Source organism: Homo sapiens, chromosome X (assembly GCF_000001405.40).
Source record: "Homo sapiens chromosome X, GRCh38.p14 Primary Assembly".
Taxonomy (NCBI): Eukaryota; Metazoa; Chordata; class Mammalia; order Primates; family Hominidae; genus Homo; species Homo sapiens.
The window spans coordinates 84,344,184-84,362,533 of NC_000023.11; the positions used below are offsets into that span (position 1 = coordinate 84,344,184).

General features: G+C 34.4%; 1 protein-coding gene across 12 annotated transcripts in view; it reads right to left on the reverse strand.

Annotated features, from left to right (window-relative positions):
• HDX (highly divergent homeobox) overlaps positions 1 to 18,350 on the reverse strand; it is a 184,576-nt gene that overhangs the window by 26,306 nt on the left and 139,920 nt on the right. For all 12 annotated transcript variants that reach the window (XR_001755653.2, XR_001755652.2, XR_938392.2 and 9 more), the window contains 2 exons: positions 17,283 to 17,429; positions 67 to 274 (listed from right to left, as the gene is read on the reverse strand). Coding sequence is in view for 9 of the 12 variants with exons in the window: in XM_017029275.2 (XP_016884764.1) it covers positions 67 to 274; positions 17,283 to 17,429 (355 nt within the window). In the remaining 3 variants the exon portion in view is untranslated. The remainder of the gene's footprint in view (positions 1 to 66; positions 275 to 17,282; positions 17,430 to 18,350) is intronic.

Here is an 18,350-nt window from a genome sequence, read left to right on the forward strand (position 1 = left end):
AAAATCAAGTACAAAATGCATCAAATTTACAAAGGCTATTATTAGAAGATTCAGCATATAAAGTACCTTGAGAGCTTCCTTCAGACAAACAGATGGATACTTCATCATTTCTGTCATTATCCTCTCCTACTTCAGGCCCAGCTTCCTCTCCTGGTGTGAGTGCAGATAAAGAACCAGACTCAGGCTGCTCAGAGAAATCAGCAGGGCCTCCTCTTGGAGGTGGAACTTCAATCCCCATTAAACGATATTTCCTTCTTCGATTCCCAATCCAAGTCTTTATAAGAGAAATATAGGAGGAATTTTTGTAAACATAGAAAACTTAGCAGTTCTAGCCAGTAAAATAATGAATGAATGCTGCATAAAATATGATTTAAAGGAATAAATGGGTACACAGAAAGGTAAAAACTTTTATGTCAATACGCTAAAATAAAAATAATTGTGTTTTATATTTTTATAACTTATTTTATTTATAACTGACAAATAATAATTGTACCTGGTTATGGGGTACAGTTTGACAGTGTGAGGTTTCAATACATGTACAGATTTTATAATGATCGAATCATGATGGTTAGCATGTCAATCACCTCAAAATGTTAATAGTTATGGCTTTAACTTTAAAATATTTATTAGCAGAAAGAAGGTATTTATATAAATATTCAGACTTTTTAGCAACATGTAGTCTACTGAGGATGACTTTTTTCTGTTTTTGTTTTGTTTCTCGAGAAAACGATTCACCAAATCTTTTAAAAGAAAAATAAACTGGTTCTTTTTCAAACAGAACCATCATATAGCTATAACTCTAATTCATATCCTATTTCCAATCTTGCTCTTCCTATGCAAAAATGTGCCCTCTGTTAATTTTGTTTGGCTCCATATTATTACCTTGGCATTTCAAGCACTGTAAAATTTCATTTTACTGAATTTACAACCAATTTTCAAGACATTTTGTAATGAAATCATTTTAGAGTAATGGGAAGTTTCAAAGATAAGTCTTGTTTATTCTTCACTCCGTCTTCTCCAACTTCCATCTTACATAATTATAGCAAAATATCAAAAACAGGAAATTGATACTGTACAATATGTGTGTATAGTTCTATGTCCCTTTATCACACCATTCCTCTTCCTCTCCTTCCCACTATCCCTAATCTGTTTTCTGTCTCCATAACTGTGCTTTTTCAAGAATATTATATAAATGGAATCATGCAGCATGTGACCTTTTGAAATCAACTTTTTCAATTCAGCATCATTCCCTGGAGATTCATTCAAGTTGTGTGTATCGAGCCCATTCGTTTTTATTGCTAAGCAGTATTCCATGATATATATTTACCCATGTTCGTTTAACCATTTACCTGCTGAAGGACACTTGCATTGTTTCAGATGTTTTGCTTATTACATATAAAGCCATTGTGAACAGTAATTTACAGGTTTTGTGTAGACATAGTTTCTATTTTTCTAGGATAAATGCACAAGGATGCAAATTATGGATCATATGGTTATATGTTAAGTTTTATAAGAATCTGTCAAATTGTTTTCCAGAGAAACTGGGCCATTTTACATTCTTATCAGCAATGCATGAGAGATCCAGTTTCTTAGCATTCTTGCTAGCATTTAGTATTGTCAGTATTTTCTAAAAACTTTTAGCTGTTCTCATAGGTGTGTGTAGTAACAGCTCAACAAGTTCTTAATGTTGGCCATCTTTCCATGTGCTTATTTATCATCCCTATATTTGCCATCCTTTTCAATGAAATGTCTCTTCATTTTCTAATTGAAGTTCTTGTTTCATTTTCATGTTGAGTTTTGAGAAGTTCTTTATATATTCTAAATATGAATTCTATGTAATATATGTGGTTTGCAAATATTTTCTCCCAGTCTGTAGCTTGAATTTTTATCCTATTAGTCTTTTGCAGCACAAACTTAACACTGCTCAAAAAAAGGATATTAATTTAAAATAATAAAAAATGGGTTCACTGAAAAGATTGGTAAACTTGACAAACATCTAATTGTTAAACACAGTTTAACATGGCCCTGGTGGCTAGTGAGCACCTGTAGTTGCATATATTCGGGAGGCTGAGGTGGGAGGATTTCTTGAACCCAGGAGTTCAAGGCTGCAGTGAGCTATGATCACATTACATTAAACATTGTTTAACATAATTTTTATCAAATTCCAGCAAGATTTTTGTAGATACATATGAGATAATTCTAAAATTCACATGGAAAGAAAATGAGTGAGTATGGCTAAAACAGTATCGAATAAAAAAGAATAAGGTGGAAAGAATGTATCTACCTAATTTCAAGACTTTTTATATACTTACTGTAATCAAGAGTGTGTGGTATTGGCAGAGGGCTAGCCACAGATCACTGAAACAGAATAGAGAACCCAGAAATGGTCTTACACAAGTATGACCAGCTTAGCTGACTTTTGACAAAGGTGCAAAAAGAATTTAATAGGGGAAGTGCAGTTTTTTCAAGAAACAATGCTGGAGCAATTGGATATTCATAGGAAAACAAAAATGGACCTTGTTCTAAATCTCACACCTTATACAAAAATGAACTCAAAATGCATCATAGATTTAAATATAAAAAATAAAACTTTAAAACTTTTAGAAGAAGGCATAGAGGAGAATCTTTGGGGCTTCAGGATTAGTGAAGAATTCTTAGAAATGGTAATAAAAAGCACAATCCATAGAAGAAAAGTAACTTCTGGGTTTTGATTGGAATTGAATTGAATCTATAGATCAATTGGAAAGAACTGAAATCTTGATATAATTGAGTTGTTCTATCCATCTCCATGGAATATCTCTCCATTTATTTAGATCTTTGATTTCTTTTATCAGAGTTTTGTAGTTTTCTTCATGCAGACCTTGTGCCTATTTCACTAAATTTATACCTAAGTGTTTAATTTTGGGGAAGCTAAAGTAAATGTTTTTTTTTCTGTTTCATTGATTTTTGCTCATACCTTAGTTATTTCCTTCCTTCTATTTGCTTTGTGTTTATTTTGTCGTCTTTTTCTAGTTTCTATTTTTTTCACTATCTTCTTTTTTTAGAGACAGGATCTCACTCTGTCACAGTAATGTGATCATAGTTCACTGTAGCCTTGAACTCCTGGGCTCAAGCAATTCTCCCACCTCAGCCTCCTGAGTAGCTAGAACTAAAAGTGCTCACCAGCCACCATGTCCAGCTTTTGTCTAGTTTCTTAAGGTGGGAGTTTAGATTATTTATTTGAGAGCTTCCTGTTTTCTAATGTATACATTAGGATAAATTTTGCTCTCAGCACTACTTATCTGCATCCCACAAATTTGGTATTTTGTTCCTTTTGTACTGTTCAATGTACTTTTACCTTCAATATTATTTCTCTAATGCTCTTCCTTTATGTAGCTCTGCATTTCTGACCTATATGATTTCCCTTGTATCTGAAGGACTTTTCAACATTTCTTGAAAGGCAGTTCTACTGGCAACAAATTCCTTCAATTTTTGTCTGAAAAAGTCTATTTCTCCTTCACATTTGAAGGATAATTTCACTGAGTACAGAATTCTGGGTTGGTATTGTTTGTTTTTTCCTCTCAACACTTTAAATATTTCATTCTACTGCCTTCTTGCTTGCATAGTTTCTGAGGAAAAGTCAGATTTAATTCTTATTTTTGCTCCTCTGTAATTAAGGTATTTGTTTTCCCCCTCTGGCTTCTTTCAAGTCTTTTTCTTTATCAATGATTTTTACAGTTTGAGTATGATATGCCTAGGTGTAGTTTTTTTTATTGTTTGTTTTGCATTTATCCTGCTTGGTGTACGCCAAGCATTGTGGATCTGTGGTTTGATATGTTACATTAATTTAGGGAAAATTCTCAGTTATTATGGTTTTGAATATTTCTTCTGTTCTATTTTCCCTTTTTTTCTCTTTCTGGTGGTATTCCCATTAGACATATGTTACACCTGTTATATTTGTCCCACAGTTGTTGTATATTATGTTCCATTTTTAATCAATATTTTTGTTTTATGCTCTCCAGTTTTGGAAGTTTCTATTGATATATCATCAAGTTCAGAAATTATTTCCACAGCCATGTCCAGTCTGCTAATGAGACCATCAAAAGCTTTCTTCATTTCAGTTACTGTTTTTGGTCTCTAGCATTTGTTTTTTATCCTTTCTTAGAATGTTCATGCCTCTGCTTACATTACCATTCTGTTCTTGTATGTTGTCTACTTTTTCCATTAGTGCCCTTAGCATGTTAATCATAGTTCTTCCCAATTCCTCGTCTGACGATTCTAACATCCCTGTCATGTATGAATGTAGTTCTGATGCTTGCTCTGTCTCTTCAAATTCTTTCTTTGTTTTGTTGTTTTGCTTTTGTTTGTTTGTTTTTTGCCTTTTGTTATGCCTTGTCATTTTTATTAAAAGTTGAACGTGATGTACTGGGTTAAAAGAACTAAAAGAACTAGGCATTTGGCGATGTAGTGTTCAGGTTAGGAGGAAGTTAAAGCATCCTATAGTCCTATGATGAGATCTCAGTCTTTTAGTGAATCTTTGCCGTGGCCTGTGAACTTTTGAAGTGCTTATCAGTTTTTCCTCTACCTTAGGTGGGACAAGATGGCTAAAGGGGGCTGTATTTGGTTATTATTGTTGTTTACTTTTGCCCTAGGATAGTTAGGTCATGATAAAATCCCAATAGGTTAGGCTCTGGTAAAATATTTGCTCTTAAAAGCAGGCTTTCTTAACAGAACGTTCTAATGTTTCTTAAAAATTGTTACTTTTCCATTCTTCCTGTCAAGAGCATGAGGGAGTTTTTCTCCAATATTCACAGTGAGAATCTGATACAGCCTCTGGGAGTAAAACTCACAAAAGTGTCACCCCCTCCATGATTGTACACCCTGGAATTCCTAACTTTCAGACTTGTCTACACTGAGCCTCCAGCAATTCATCAGTTACAGTTTAGGTTTTCCTGCCTTGGTAATGGTTCCCATGGAGGTTTCTGCTCATGGAATTCTGCTCCAGTAAGTTGTGATTCTCTGTATCTGCCTATTTGTCTCACCAATTTTGGGGTCAGTGGTTTGCCCTGTACCTTCACTTATCTGTCATATCTAAGAAGAATTGTTGATTTTCAGTTTGTTCAACGTTTTATTTGTTAAGATGAACTGACAACTTCTAGGCTCCTCACATGCCAGACCAGAAACTAGAAGTCCAATTTCATTTTATTCCCTTATGACTTATTTAAAAATTATATATATATATGTGTGTGTGTGTGTGTGTGTGTGTGTGTGTGTGTGTGTGTGTGTGTATGGTTAGGGTTAGGCATTAAGGGAGTTAGGAGCTAGGGTTAGGGTTGTTACATATATGTATAAATGTGTGTGTGTATATATATATATACACACATACATAAGCATATAGATGTATATATATGTGTATATATGTACATCTATATGTTTATGTGTGTGTGTATATATATATATATATATATAAACAACCCTAACCCCTAACCCCCTTAACCCTTGACCTTAACCCTAGCCCTGTGTGTGTGTGTGTGTGTGTGTGCACACACACCATAGAATACTACTCAGTCTTAAAAAAAGAATAAAATCATGTCTTTTGTAGTAACATAAATGGAACTACAGGCCATTATTCTAAGTGAAATAACTCAAACAGAAAGTCAAATAACACATGATATCACTTGTAAGTGGGTGCTAAACAGTGGGTATTCATGGCAATAGAGAGTGGAATAATAGACAATGAAAACTCTAAAACATGGGAGGGTAGAAGAGGGGTGAGGGTTGAAAAATCACCTGTTGGGTACAATGTTCACTATTCGAGTGACAGGTACACTCAAAGCCCAGACTTCACCACCACACAATATATGTGTGTAACAAAACTGCACTTATACCCCAAAACCTATAAAAACTGAAAAAAGACTCCCTCTTTGACCCACGGATTATTTAGAAATGTCTTGCATAACCTCTAAGTGTATGGAAATTTTTCTGATATCTTTCTGTTATTGATTTCTACTTTGATGCAATAGTGGTCAGGAACATATTCTGTATGATTTAGATTTTTAAAATTTATTGAGGTTTGTCTTGTGGTCCAGGATTTACTCTTTTTGTGTATTCCATGAGCACTTGAAAAGTGTGTATTTTATTTTTGTTGGGTTGTGCATTCTACTAGTCAATTACACCCTATGGATTGAGGGTGTTTTGGGGTTCTATATTACTAATATTCTTCTATGTAATAACTGTAGCAGCTGTTGAGAGAAGGCTGATGAAATCTCCAAATATAATTTTGGATTTGCTTATTCTTCTTTTGAGAATTTTTAGTTGTTGCTTCACATATTTTGTAGTTCTGTGATATCTGATGTATACACATTCAGAATTGCAATGTCTCCTTGATAAAATTTACCCTGTTATTATTATACAGTGTCCCACTTTGTCCCCTGTAATTTCCTTTGCTCTGAAGTTTACTTTATCCGATATTATTGTATCAACTCCTGCTTTATTTTGATTCATGTTTGCATTCTATATGTTTTCTATCTTTTTACTTTCAAACTACACATATCATGATATTTTAATTTATTGTAGACAACATCAAGTTAGGTCATTTTTAAAAATCCAATTTGCAAATTTCTGTATTTTAGTTTGTGAATTTAGACCATTTAAATTTAATGCAATTATTTCTATGTTAAAGCGTCAATATGTCATTTCATTTTCTGCCTTCATTTCTTTTAGTGTATTTTGTTGTATTTTTCCCCTGCATTCCTGTGGGGTATTTTTAAATATTTAGAATTCCATTTATATTTATGTATAGAACTTTTCTGTATCCCTTTGTATGACTTTTTAGTGATTGATCCAGGCTATCTATCTATCTATCTATCTATCTATCTATCTATCTATCTATCATCTATCTATCTTATGACAGTCACAAGAGGGTAAATTCCAGGTTGTCCACTGGACTTCCATTGACATCCAGTGGGGAAAGAGACTTCTTTTACTCCTGGGTGGAGTTGGGAGCCCAGGAGCTCCAGTAGGCATCTTCTGATACCACCCCAATGAGGAGGAGGAAGGGCTCATCATCACCTCTAAGTGCAGGAGGGGATAAAAGTCTTCTAGTGACATTGCAAGGGAATGGTGGAGGAAGGATTTTTATTCCAGCTCTCCACTCTTTCTTATCTGACACCATCCCATCAGTGAGTGTTTTTTGTTTGTTGGTTTGTTTTGTTTTGTTTTGCTTTGCGGAGGTGGGGGCATCTAGCTGTTCCACAGCCTGGTGAGGCAGAAGTCTTGGTCCTCCATTTGGCCTTTTCTTGTAGGGGTGGGTGTGGCTGCAGTTTTTCCCCGTGGTATTTGGCTGGAGTAAAGAAGTCATTATCTAAACATTTTCTGTCATGTTAGACTGCCCTTTTCCTGGTTCTTGGCTGAGAGAGGCCAGGCTTTTCTTTTTCTTTCCTTTTTCCATTTGTTTGCACCTATTGGTGTTTCTTGATTGTTGGCTTTTCCAGTATCTATTCTGGGGTATATGAAGCAAAAGAAAACCCAGGAAACTCACCATTGTGTGAGTGTCATTCATGGGGTCCCATGGTCCCTAGCAGATGTGACTTCTTTCCACCCTTCAGAGTCTTCTTATGTTTGCTATTTATATAATGTCCAGGGATATTAGTTCTACTTAATGAGAAGAATAGGGAAAATTATGTCCACTCCATTTTCTCAGAAGCAACAGTCTGAAACCAGTTTTATTCCCACGTTTCTTACGCAATTTTCAGAAAGACCACTTTATATGACTCGAATTTGTAACCTTTCTAGTTTTGCCATGTCAAGAAGGATTCTTAAAACCTAAAGTAGTGTAGAAAACCACTAAATAACAGTTTAGACTTTCAGCTGTAAATTTGATTATGATGCCTTTTATACCAACTAGAATTTCTTCTATACAATAGGGCTACATAAATACAAAGCCACCTTAGATACTCTTTGTGTAAATAAAAAACATGAATGAAGTTAAATTTTATACTTGGTTAGATTTCAAAAAATATGCAGGGCAAAACAGAAGAACTATTTAGTTAGTCCAAAAAGACGAATTCTTCTTTATATTTGATGGGGGGAATTTTCCCTTCAAGTTTATGAAATGTAGTTCCTTGGATGTGTTTAGCATTGACACTAAATGTGAAGTTTGAAACACATGAATTACTTTGTACACACCAAAGAGAAAATTGCCTAGTATGAAATAAAAATCTGTATGGATACTAATTTTCTTAGCTTTGATAATTTCTTTCATAGGAGAAATACTAGTTTAAAAAGGAGAATTCCATTTATTTTTTCCTTTTAACACTTTTTTATTTTTAATTTTTGTAGGTATATATTAGGTGTATATATTTACGAGGCACATGAGACATTTTGGTACAGGCATGCAAAGCATAATAATCACATCATGGAACACTGGGTATTCATCCCCTCAAGCATTTATCCTTTGTGTTACAAACAGTCCAATTATACTTTTAGTGATTTTATAATGTACAATTAAATTATTATTGACTCTAGCACCCAATTTCTCATTACATCCATCATAACGTTGAAAATGGATTGCTATAATTCAGAAAAGATAAAGAATGGCAATTTCTTACTAAAGCTTCTTAAAATTGTCATGTAATCTCTCTATTTTCTACTCATGAACACAACAAATTGTAAATGCAGAAGCTTTTCTTTTACAATAATCTTAGCCACCAATAGTTGTGAAAATGATGGTATGAGCAGAAGGAGGAAAAGACCAGTCTCCCTAGGATGATTTTTGCTCCATTTGGGTCATAAAAGCTGGGGAAGAGTGAAGAAAAAAAAAGCAGAAACGAAGTTTCTATTTATCTTCCACTTCTTTTGCACCCTTTTTGAGAGAAATGAGTGATTATAAAATGTACAATGATAAAGGTAAAACAATATGTTATGTGAATATTGGAAGTATGTGATATTTTATTGTAAATTAAAGCTAAAATATTTCCTCTTTGGATATTCCTCAAAACTAGAAGGCACTAGAAAAATGATTCAATGTATAAATACAATGCTAATGGGTTTAGTACATTTTTACAGAATCATGGATAACTGAGTTAATCCTGGAGTCTGCTCTGGCCTGAATATTTGTCTCCCCTACTCCAAATTAACGTGTTAAAATCCTAACCCCCAAGGTACTAGTGTTAAAAGGTGGGACCTTTTGGAGGTAAATAGGTAATGAGAATGGGTCTCTCATAAATGTAGTGCTTTTATAAAGGAGACCCCAGGGAGACTCCTTGCCCCTTCTGCCATGAGAGGTTACAGCAAAAAGATAGCTGTCTAGGAAGTGGGCTTTCCATACTTCTGACCTTCCAGCACCTTGGTCTTTGATTCCTCAGCCTCCAGAACAATTAAGAATAAATTTCTGTTGTTTATAAGACAACCAATCTATAATATTGTATTATAGCAGGCTGTGATAGTTAATTTTATGTGTCAATATAACTGAGCTAAATGTTTCCCAGATAGCTGGCAAAACATTATTTCTAGGTGTGTCCCTGAGATTGTTACTGGCAGAGATTAGAATTTGAGTATATAGACTGTTAAGAAGATCACTTTTACTAATGTGAGTGGGTATCATACAATCTGTTGAGCGTCTGAAGTTTCCATCCTCTTTTTGCATGAAAATATCAGGGATATAAAACATACCACTCTGAAAGGTTCCCAGTTGGTTTTGTAAGTGTTTTCATAATGCTCTTCCTTAAACTGAACCAATATCTATGGTTTTATTTCATTGAGGTATTGTTTCCAGTTCTTTGCTTCAGATCTTCTTCACCCTGAACTCTCCCTTCTACATTCCAGCTATCAATTATGTGAATGGTATTTTTTTCACTGTTTCAGATTAGAAACCCCTACTTTAAAATATTTAGGTTTTTCAACCATTTTATATGATCAATGGACAAGTTATTTTATCACTCTAAGCCTCAGATTATTTATGTGCAAAATTAGGAAAATAATTTCCAAATTCTTTACTTTCCTGAATAATAAATTTCCCACCAGAATGGTCACAAATCTAAAAATAGTAGTGAATCTTTTCAACCAGAACACCTATGTATTAACACCACAAACATAATGGCTATTAAAAATGAGTACTCTAAAGCCCTGTACATTTCTAAGTATCTTTCTATTAAACAATATGAAGCTATATTCCAAACTTTTATTTTAAATGTAGTTATTTAAATGTAGTATTTGTTAGTTCATGTATGCTATATATAGAGGGTACACTTTTCTGTTAGATATTCATTCATTCATTCCACATATATTACTGAAAATTTACTATGTACCAAACACTGTTTCTGGTGCTTGGGATGGTGAATATAATAGGTGAATATAATAGGTATAGTCTTTTCCTCAGGGAACTTAAATGTATAAATATAGATGATAAACAACAGAAATGCATATGTACAGGTGATAAGCAAATAGAAAAACAAATATAAATTATAAAATTTGACCAAGTGTTATGGATAAAAAGAACACGCTAGAATATTTAGCTGCAATCATCACATAGTGTTGTAAAGTTTTTTCCAAATTTACCTGATCTTAAGAATAATTTGGGGAAGGGAAACATAAAGATTCTCTGGGCCTTTCTTGCAAATTCTGTTTCGGTAGGTCTAGAATAGGGTGATCTATATTTTTAAGAAGTATCCAAGTTATTTCTTATGGTAAGGCATACACTAGTAAGGTGGAACTGGGAATAATGTTAGATTGGGAATAAAGAGACATATATATATATACACACACACACATATATATATATATATATATATATATATATATATATATATATACACATACATACACACACGCACACACACACACATATATAGGCATTGAACTCAACCCCAAGGTGCCCCCCCAGCTCTAAATCAATGTGTGTAATAGATAATAGGGAGTTTGCCATATACTGTATAAACATTGTTCCATTTCAAGGCATTTCAAATCTAGCCATGCTCCTTTGAAAATAAATATAATCTAAAATATAAAAACATAAAGTTGTTTTCTATGAACTTTATTTAAGTCCCGCAAAATGTATCTCAATCATAAAATATGTTGATTCTATCAATATTTGACCATGCAAGGGTACACTTTAATGTATGTCCACTATAACCATAACACAGATGGAAAGGACAGGCATTAAACTGAATTGTAGCAAGATGGAGCAGTGGGGAACTAATTGTCCTCGAGGACTTAACAGTGCTTCCAACTTATTGTCCACATGTAATATCTCAAAATATTTCTCCAATGTATTATCCTCATTTAGGAATAATTGATCACACTAAATTTCAAGTTCCTTGAGAGAGTTGCATTTTTCCAATGGCACTTAGAAAAGTTCTGGCACATACATAAAAAATGATGAGTTCAGGTCCTTTATAGGGACATGGATGAAGCTGGAAACCATCATTCTCAGCAAACTATCGCAGGGACAAAAAACCAAACACCGCATGTTCTCACTCATAGGTGGGAATTGAACAATGAGAAGACTTGGACACAGGAAGGGGAATATCACACACCAGGGCCTGTCGTGGGGTGGGAGGAGGGGGGAGGGATAGCATTAGGAGATATACCTAATGTAAATGACGAGTTAATGAGTGCAGCACACCAACATGGCACAAGTATACGCACGTAACAAACCTGCACATTGTGCACAGGTACCCTAGAACTTAAAGTATAATAAAAATAATAATACTAAAGGAATGTAGCAGGACAAAAAAAAAAAAAGTTCTGGCACCTAATAGGTGTCCAGTTTACCTTTGCTAAATGAGTAAGTCGGTAAATAGGCACTAACCTGTAAATGGCATTTCAAGATGAAGAAAAACATGCACATAATTAACAATCATTGACAAGGTCAAAGAAAAAGTATACCAAGTTTGCTTCCTATACTTCTTAGAAGTACAAGACATTAAAAAAAAATCTGAAACTTTCAAATTATACCGTAAGTAATGGTTAACTAGACATCCTAAGGTGAAGTTCATTTTGGTGATTAGTAATTAGAATGTATATTAGACTTAAAAACATATAAATAGTTTTTCCTGAAATCTCAAGAATATATTTATGTTGCAAACATATTCTCCCTTAGAGTAATTTACCATATGTTACAGAAGAGGTCCTCTTAAAACATATCACCTCCAAATTTTCTCTCTGCCATGAGCATTCTAGTATGTTGGAAAATCATGAGAAACAAAAGGATAGTAAACAGTTCCTTATTCTTTCATCTAATATGAGTCTGAACAAATATTAAGCAAGAAGAAAATGGTAAAATTCTTCCTCCTTTTTCACAGATTACGATCTTTGTGTAGGAATAAGAAACTCTGTATATAGTAATGCCAAAGGGGGAACTGATGTTAATAGTTTTGGCCATTTTTCACAGTAAGTGTGCCTAAAATCTCTTGATATCAGAGAGAACACTAGCCAGGAATCCTGTGGATATCTTTTTTTTTTTTTTTTTTTTTTTTTTGAGATGGAGTCTTGCTCTGTCGCCCAGGCTGGAGTGCAGTGGCGCGATCTCGCCTCACTGCAAGCTCCGCCTCCCAGGTTCACGCCATTCTCCTGCCTCAGCTTCCCGAGTAGCTGGGACTATAGGCGCCCGCCACCACGCCTGGCTAATTTTTTGTATTTTTAGTAGAGACGGGGTTTCACCATGTTAGCTAGGATGGTCTCGATCTCCTGACCTGTGATCCGCCCACCTCGGCCTCCCAAAGTGCTGGGATTACAGGCGTGAGCCACCGCGCCCGGCCCTCCTGTGGATATCTTATCTTTATTTTGGGAGTGTATGTTTTTAAAGAGATTCTGTCCGTGTCTCCTCTCTTGCAGTATGGCTGTCTCAAGGAGGCTCTATGGCTGTCCATAGAACCTGAACACTGTTGTCATGGCACAAGGTACTTATTAGTACCAGAGGCATGATGAAGTTTTTTAAAAAATGAAAAACTCAGTAGAGAAATTGGAGAATAAATTAAGGGATATCTTGCTGAAAGTAGAGCAAAAGGAAAAACAGATTGGAAGTGGAAATCTTAGAGTCCAGGTGCATAAAATAACCAATTCAGTTGGAGCAGATCAGAAAAATGCCAGGAGCTATTTCTCTAAGATGATGGAATTATTATATTACCAATGAGTATGAATGTGTTGAAAGGAGACTTAGGCAACTGGGAAAGGGTTTAAAGATAAATTAGTAGTGAGTACCTAGAAAATAACTCAAGCAAACATATGAATATCAAAAGCATAAATTAAGTAAATTATGAACTACAGGGAAATAAAACAATGCTAAGTTATGCAGAAAAGGAAAAAATGATATTTCACTACATAATTCAAATGTGTAAAGCATTTACATAGTCATAATAATGAATACCAAGCTGACCAAAGTTATAGGAGGATAAGGAGAGAGGAATTATGCATGTAAGTGAACAGATCAATGAGGAAATCTTAAAGAGATTTTTTTTTAAGCTTTGCATTTCACAGTGAAAAATCAATAGACTATGCCCAACATTGAACAAATCAGGAAGTTGCAATGTAAACATATAAGAGAGACTGCTGTCTATTCCCCATATTTGTCCTCACCTTCCAGAATAATAGAAGATTTAGCTGGGCACATGGTTGCTCACAGTAAAATTACATTTGCAGCTTCTCTTGTAGTTTGGTATGACCATGTGACTAATCTTTAGCCAATGGGATATAAGTGAACAGATCTCATGGCAGTTTCCAGAAATCCTTGTTAAAAGACAGCTGGTGAACAGCCTTTGCCCCTTATTCTTCTCCCTCTCTGTCATGCTGCCTTGAGTATGTATGCTATCATTTTGGGCCTTGATAAAAAGGGCCACATCACAGGGACAGCGGAATGGAAACTGGAAGGCATCAGGGTTTTTGTGGATATTGTAGAGCCAAACTGCCATGCTAGCTGTAAATTGCATATACATGGACTTATACATGGAATTGAAATATCTTGTCTAAGCCATTGTTACTTTTGGGTCTTTTTAATACTTACAGCTAAACCTAATTCTAATTAATACAACACATCATTCATAGATGAAAGTAAATACTGAAGGAAATAACTAAAAGTGGAAAGTGGTTCAACTCGGGCTATTGCAAAATGGTAGGAAGGAAGGAGTGAGGAATGTTGGTGTTGTAGCAAATTCTACAGAACTTGACTTCCTAAGCTATATACGTATATAACTTTGATTTAAAAAAAATAAAAATGACAATGACAACAAGAACACATGCTCTACATTTCCCTATTTTTGGCTGTTGCTTAAGCTCCTCATACTATGACTCTACTCCAATTCCTCTTCAGTCATTTTTTTTCTTGTGTCATCCCTCTTGCTAGACTCTGAGCTCCTTAAAATAGAAATAATGTCTAATGCACTTCTCTCTCCTTGTTAGTATACTTTAACACATAGCAGCATGCTCAACAAACACAGTATTGAATTTGATTTTCCATCTGGATTCTAACAAGAAAAAGCAAGACTCTGAACAGGGCAGTACTTATTTTGAGAATAGTATTTATTTTCAGAAATCTCTACTCAAAAATTCTCTCTATATTGCTCTTTTCTTCATATATATATGAGATAAGAGCTGGAGTCTCATTAGGTTGTCCTGGCTGCACTTGAACTCTTGGGCTCAAGTGATCCTTCCACCTCAGCCTTCTGAGTGGCTGGGACTACAGGTATGTACTACCAAGCCTGGCTCTTTGTCACTTCTTTAATATACTTCCCTCTTGATCTACTGAGATGATCCTCCAGTGTGTGTACTGGTGTCAACCTACACTTGCTCACAAGCGTCAACTGTTAGCATCTCTTCCCAACTCTGTGTTGAGTGAGACATGGAATCAGCTGTGGTAGGAATCTTTACACCACGGAAATCAGCAAATACTATTAATTAAGGCTTTTTTTTTCCTTAAAGAATTGATTGCTAAGTACTTACCAGCACTACCACTTTCAAAATTTTATCTTTTAAATGGAACATAAACTACTGTTCCAATGATTGATCAGTATAATTTTTAAAATTTTATTTTATTTTATTTTATTTTAAGTTCTAGGATACATGTGCAGGACCTGCAGGTTTGTTACAAAGGTAAATGTGTGCCGTGGAAGGGGTTTGCTGCACTTATCAACCCATGAACTAGATATTAAGCCTTGTATACATTAGCTTTTTTCCTGTTGCTCTCCCTTCCCCCACCCCCCAACAGGCCCCAGTGTGTGTTGTTCCCCTCCTTGTGTCCATGTGTTCTCATTGTTCAGCTCCTACTTATAAGTGAGAACATGTGGGGTTTGGTTTTCTGTTCCTATGTTAGTTTGCTGAGGATAATGGCTTCCAACTTCATCCATGGCCCTGCAAAGGACATGATCTCATTCCTTTTTATAGCTGCATAGTATTCCATGTTGTATATGTATCACATTTTCTTTATCCAGTCTATCACTGATGGACATGTGGGTTGCTTCCATGTCCTTGCTATTGTGAATACTGCTGCAATGAACATACGTGTGCATGTATCTTTATAATAGGATGATTTATAATCCTTTGGGTACATGCCCAGTAATGGGATTGCTGGGTCAAACGGTATTTCCGGTTTTAAGTCTTTGAGGAATCACCACACTGTTTTTCACAATGGTTGGATTAAAGACTTAAATGTAAAACCCAAAACTATAAAAACCTTAGAAGAAAATCAAGGCAATACCATTCAGGACATAGGCATGGGCAAAAGATTTTATGACAAAAACATCAAAAGTAATTGCAACAAAAGCAAAAATTGACAAATGGGATCTAATTAAACAAAAGAGTTTCTGCACAGCAAAAGAAACTATAATCAGAGTGAATAGAAAACTTACAGAAAGAGAAATTTTTTACAATATACCCATCTGACTAAGGTCTAATATACACAGTCTACGAGGAACTTAAACAATTTTACAAGTAAAAAACAAACAACCCCATTAAAAAGTGGGCAAAGGACATGAACAGAGAGTTCTCAAAAGAAGAAATTTATGCAGCCAACAAACATGAGAAAAAGCTCAACATCACTAATCTTTAGAGAAATGCAAATTAAAACCACAATGAAATACCATCTCACGCCAATCAGAATGGCAATTATTAAAAAGTCAAGAAACAACAGATGCTGGCAAGGCTGTGGAGAAATAGGAACACTTTTACACTGTAGGTGGGAATGTAAAATAAATTTTTATCTATCATTCATTATATGAGATATATTTCAATTCACCTCATGTAATTTTTAAACAATGTTATTGAGATATATTTAAAACACCACACAATTCATTTATTTAATATGTACAATTAAAATGTTTTCAACATATTCACAGTGCTGTGCACCAGTCACCACTAACTAATCTAGAACATTTTCATCATGCCAAAAATAAATCCCATGCATATTAACAGTCAGGTCCCATCCCTCCCCTCCCTCAGCTCTTGGCACCACTAACCTATTTTCTGTCTCTAGAGTGTGCCTAATGAGGACACTTCATATAAATGAAATAATATAATATGTGGTCTTTTGCAATGGGTTTCTTTCATTTAGCATAATGTTTTTAAGGTTCATCCGTTTTATAGCACATATGAATATTTCATTCCTTTATATGGCTCTATAATAGTCCATTATATGCATATATCCAGATGTTGTCTATACATTCACTTGGTGGATGTTTGGGTTGTTTCCATTTGGATATTATGGAAAACTCTGTTATGAATATCAGTGTGCAACTTTTTGAGTTGGATATACATTTTTTATTCTTTTGAGTAGATTGAAATCCATTCCAGCAGTGGAATTTTTGGTCATATGATAACTCTGTGTTAAACTTTTTGAGGACTGTTGTCAAAGTTGCTAAAATATTTTACATTCTTACCAGCAACGTATCAGGGCTACAATTTCTCCATATCCTGGCCAAAACTCATTATTATATACCTTTTATGTTAATATTGTTACAGTGGATAAATGGCAACTTGTGGTTTTTATTTTCATTTCCATAATGACTAATGATGTTGAACATAATTTCAGGTAAATATTGGCAATATGTATATCTTTTTAAAACAAATATCTATTCATTTCCTTTGCCTATTTTTAAAATTGGGTTATTTGCAATTTTATTATTGACTTGTAAGTGTTCTTTACATCCTTTGATACATATTCCTTATCAGATATATGATTTCAAAATATCTCCTATCCTGTGGGTTATCTTTTCACTTTATTGCTAGCATTGCTTGGAGCACCTCATGTAAGATTTTAAAGCTTTCATTTATGCCATTCAGCAACTATAGCATGAAAATTATAGAAAATGTCTTACCCGAACTATTTCACAGTCAACATTTAATTCAGTTGCCACAGCTTCAATTTTCTCTCTACAAACAGAGCCCAGGCTGGTCATGCCATTGTCCCAATACTTCTTAAGGGTGGCTAAGTCTCGGTCACTGAACTGAGTGCGGTCCTGTAGCTGAAAAACACATTTTTAAATTGTTTTGAATTTTAAAGTTTAGAATAATCAAAGGAAATAATATTATAAAGAGAAGCATCAGGGTGAGATGTGCTACGATACTAGCAAAATTTATTTCACAATTCTTATTCAGTCCTCCCGTTCTGAAAATAAGCATTTTTATTTTTTAAATTTCCATAACAATACAGTGTGTTAGGAGGAAATGCATAGAATTTTTGAACTGATAGCAATTAAGCAATGTTGATTTAAAATAGTTTTAAAATAATACATGTTCATTGTATAAAATACAGGTAAAAAATAAGATAATTTAAATCACTTACATATTAGAAATAATGCTTGTTAACATTTTAATGTATACTCTTTTAAACTTTTTTCTATAGTACAGATATTTACATTCACATACCAAACACAGAAAAAGCAAAGACAGGCTTATATTAGTGTGTTGCCTTTTGATAAGTTAATCTAGATTTGCCATACAAATCTAGATATTAGTTTCCTATTGATATTATAATGAATTAAAAAGGTAAATAAGAGAAAAGTAAGGAGATCACGTAGCCCTAAAATCATATTTATGGCCTCGTCAAGTTTCATAATAAGCCTACCCTTTTTGTTCTTAGGTTTTCTTTATCCAATAAACTATCGGATTTACATGTTGTTTTATTTCAATGAATCCTCAGTATCCCTAGGAAGTAAGTTAGAAACATGATAGAATAATGACCTCTACTTTGCTGATAAGGCATCAGGAAAAGCTAGGTCAAAGGACTCATTCAACAGGGCACAGAGAGTCCATGGCAGAGCTATAAATAGAAATATCTGAGTTTTTCTAGTTGTTTTTTTTTCCAGTGATGCCTCAAATTATTTTCAGAGGTGGTGGAAAAATCTAAACACAGGCTTTAATTAAAATATATATATCCTGCAAAG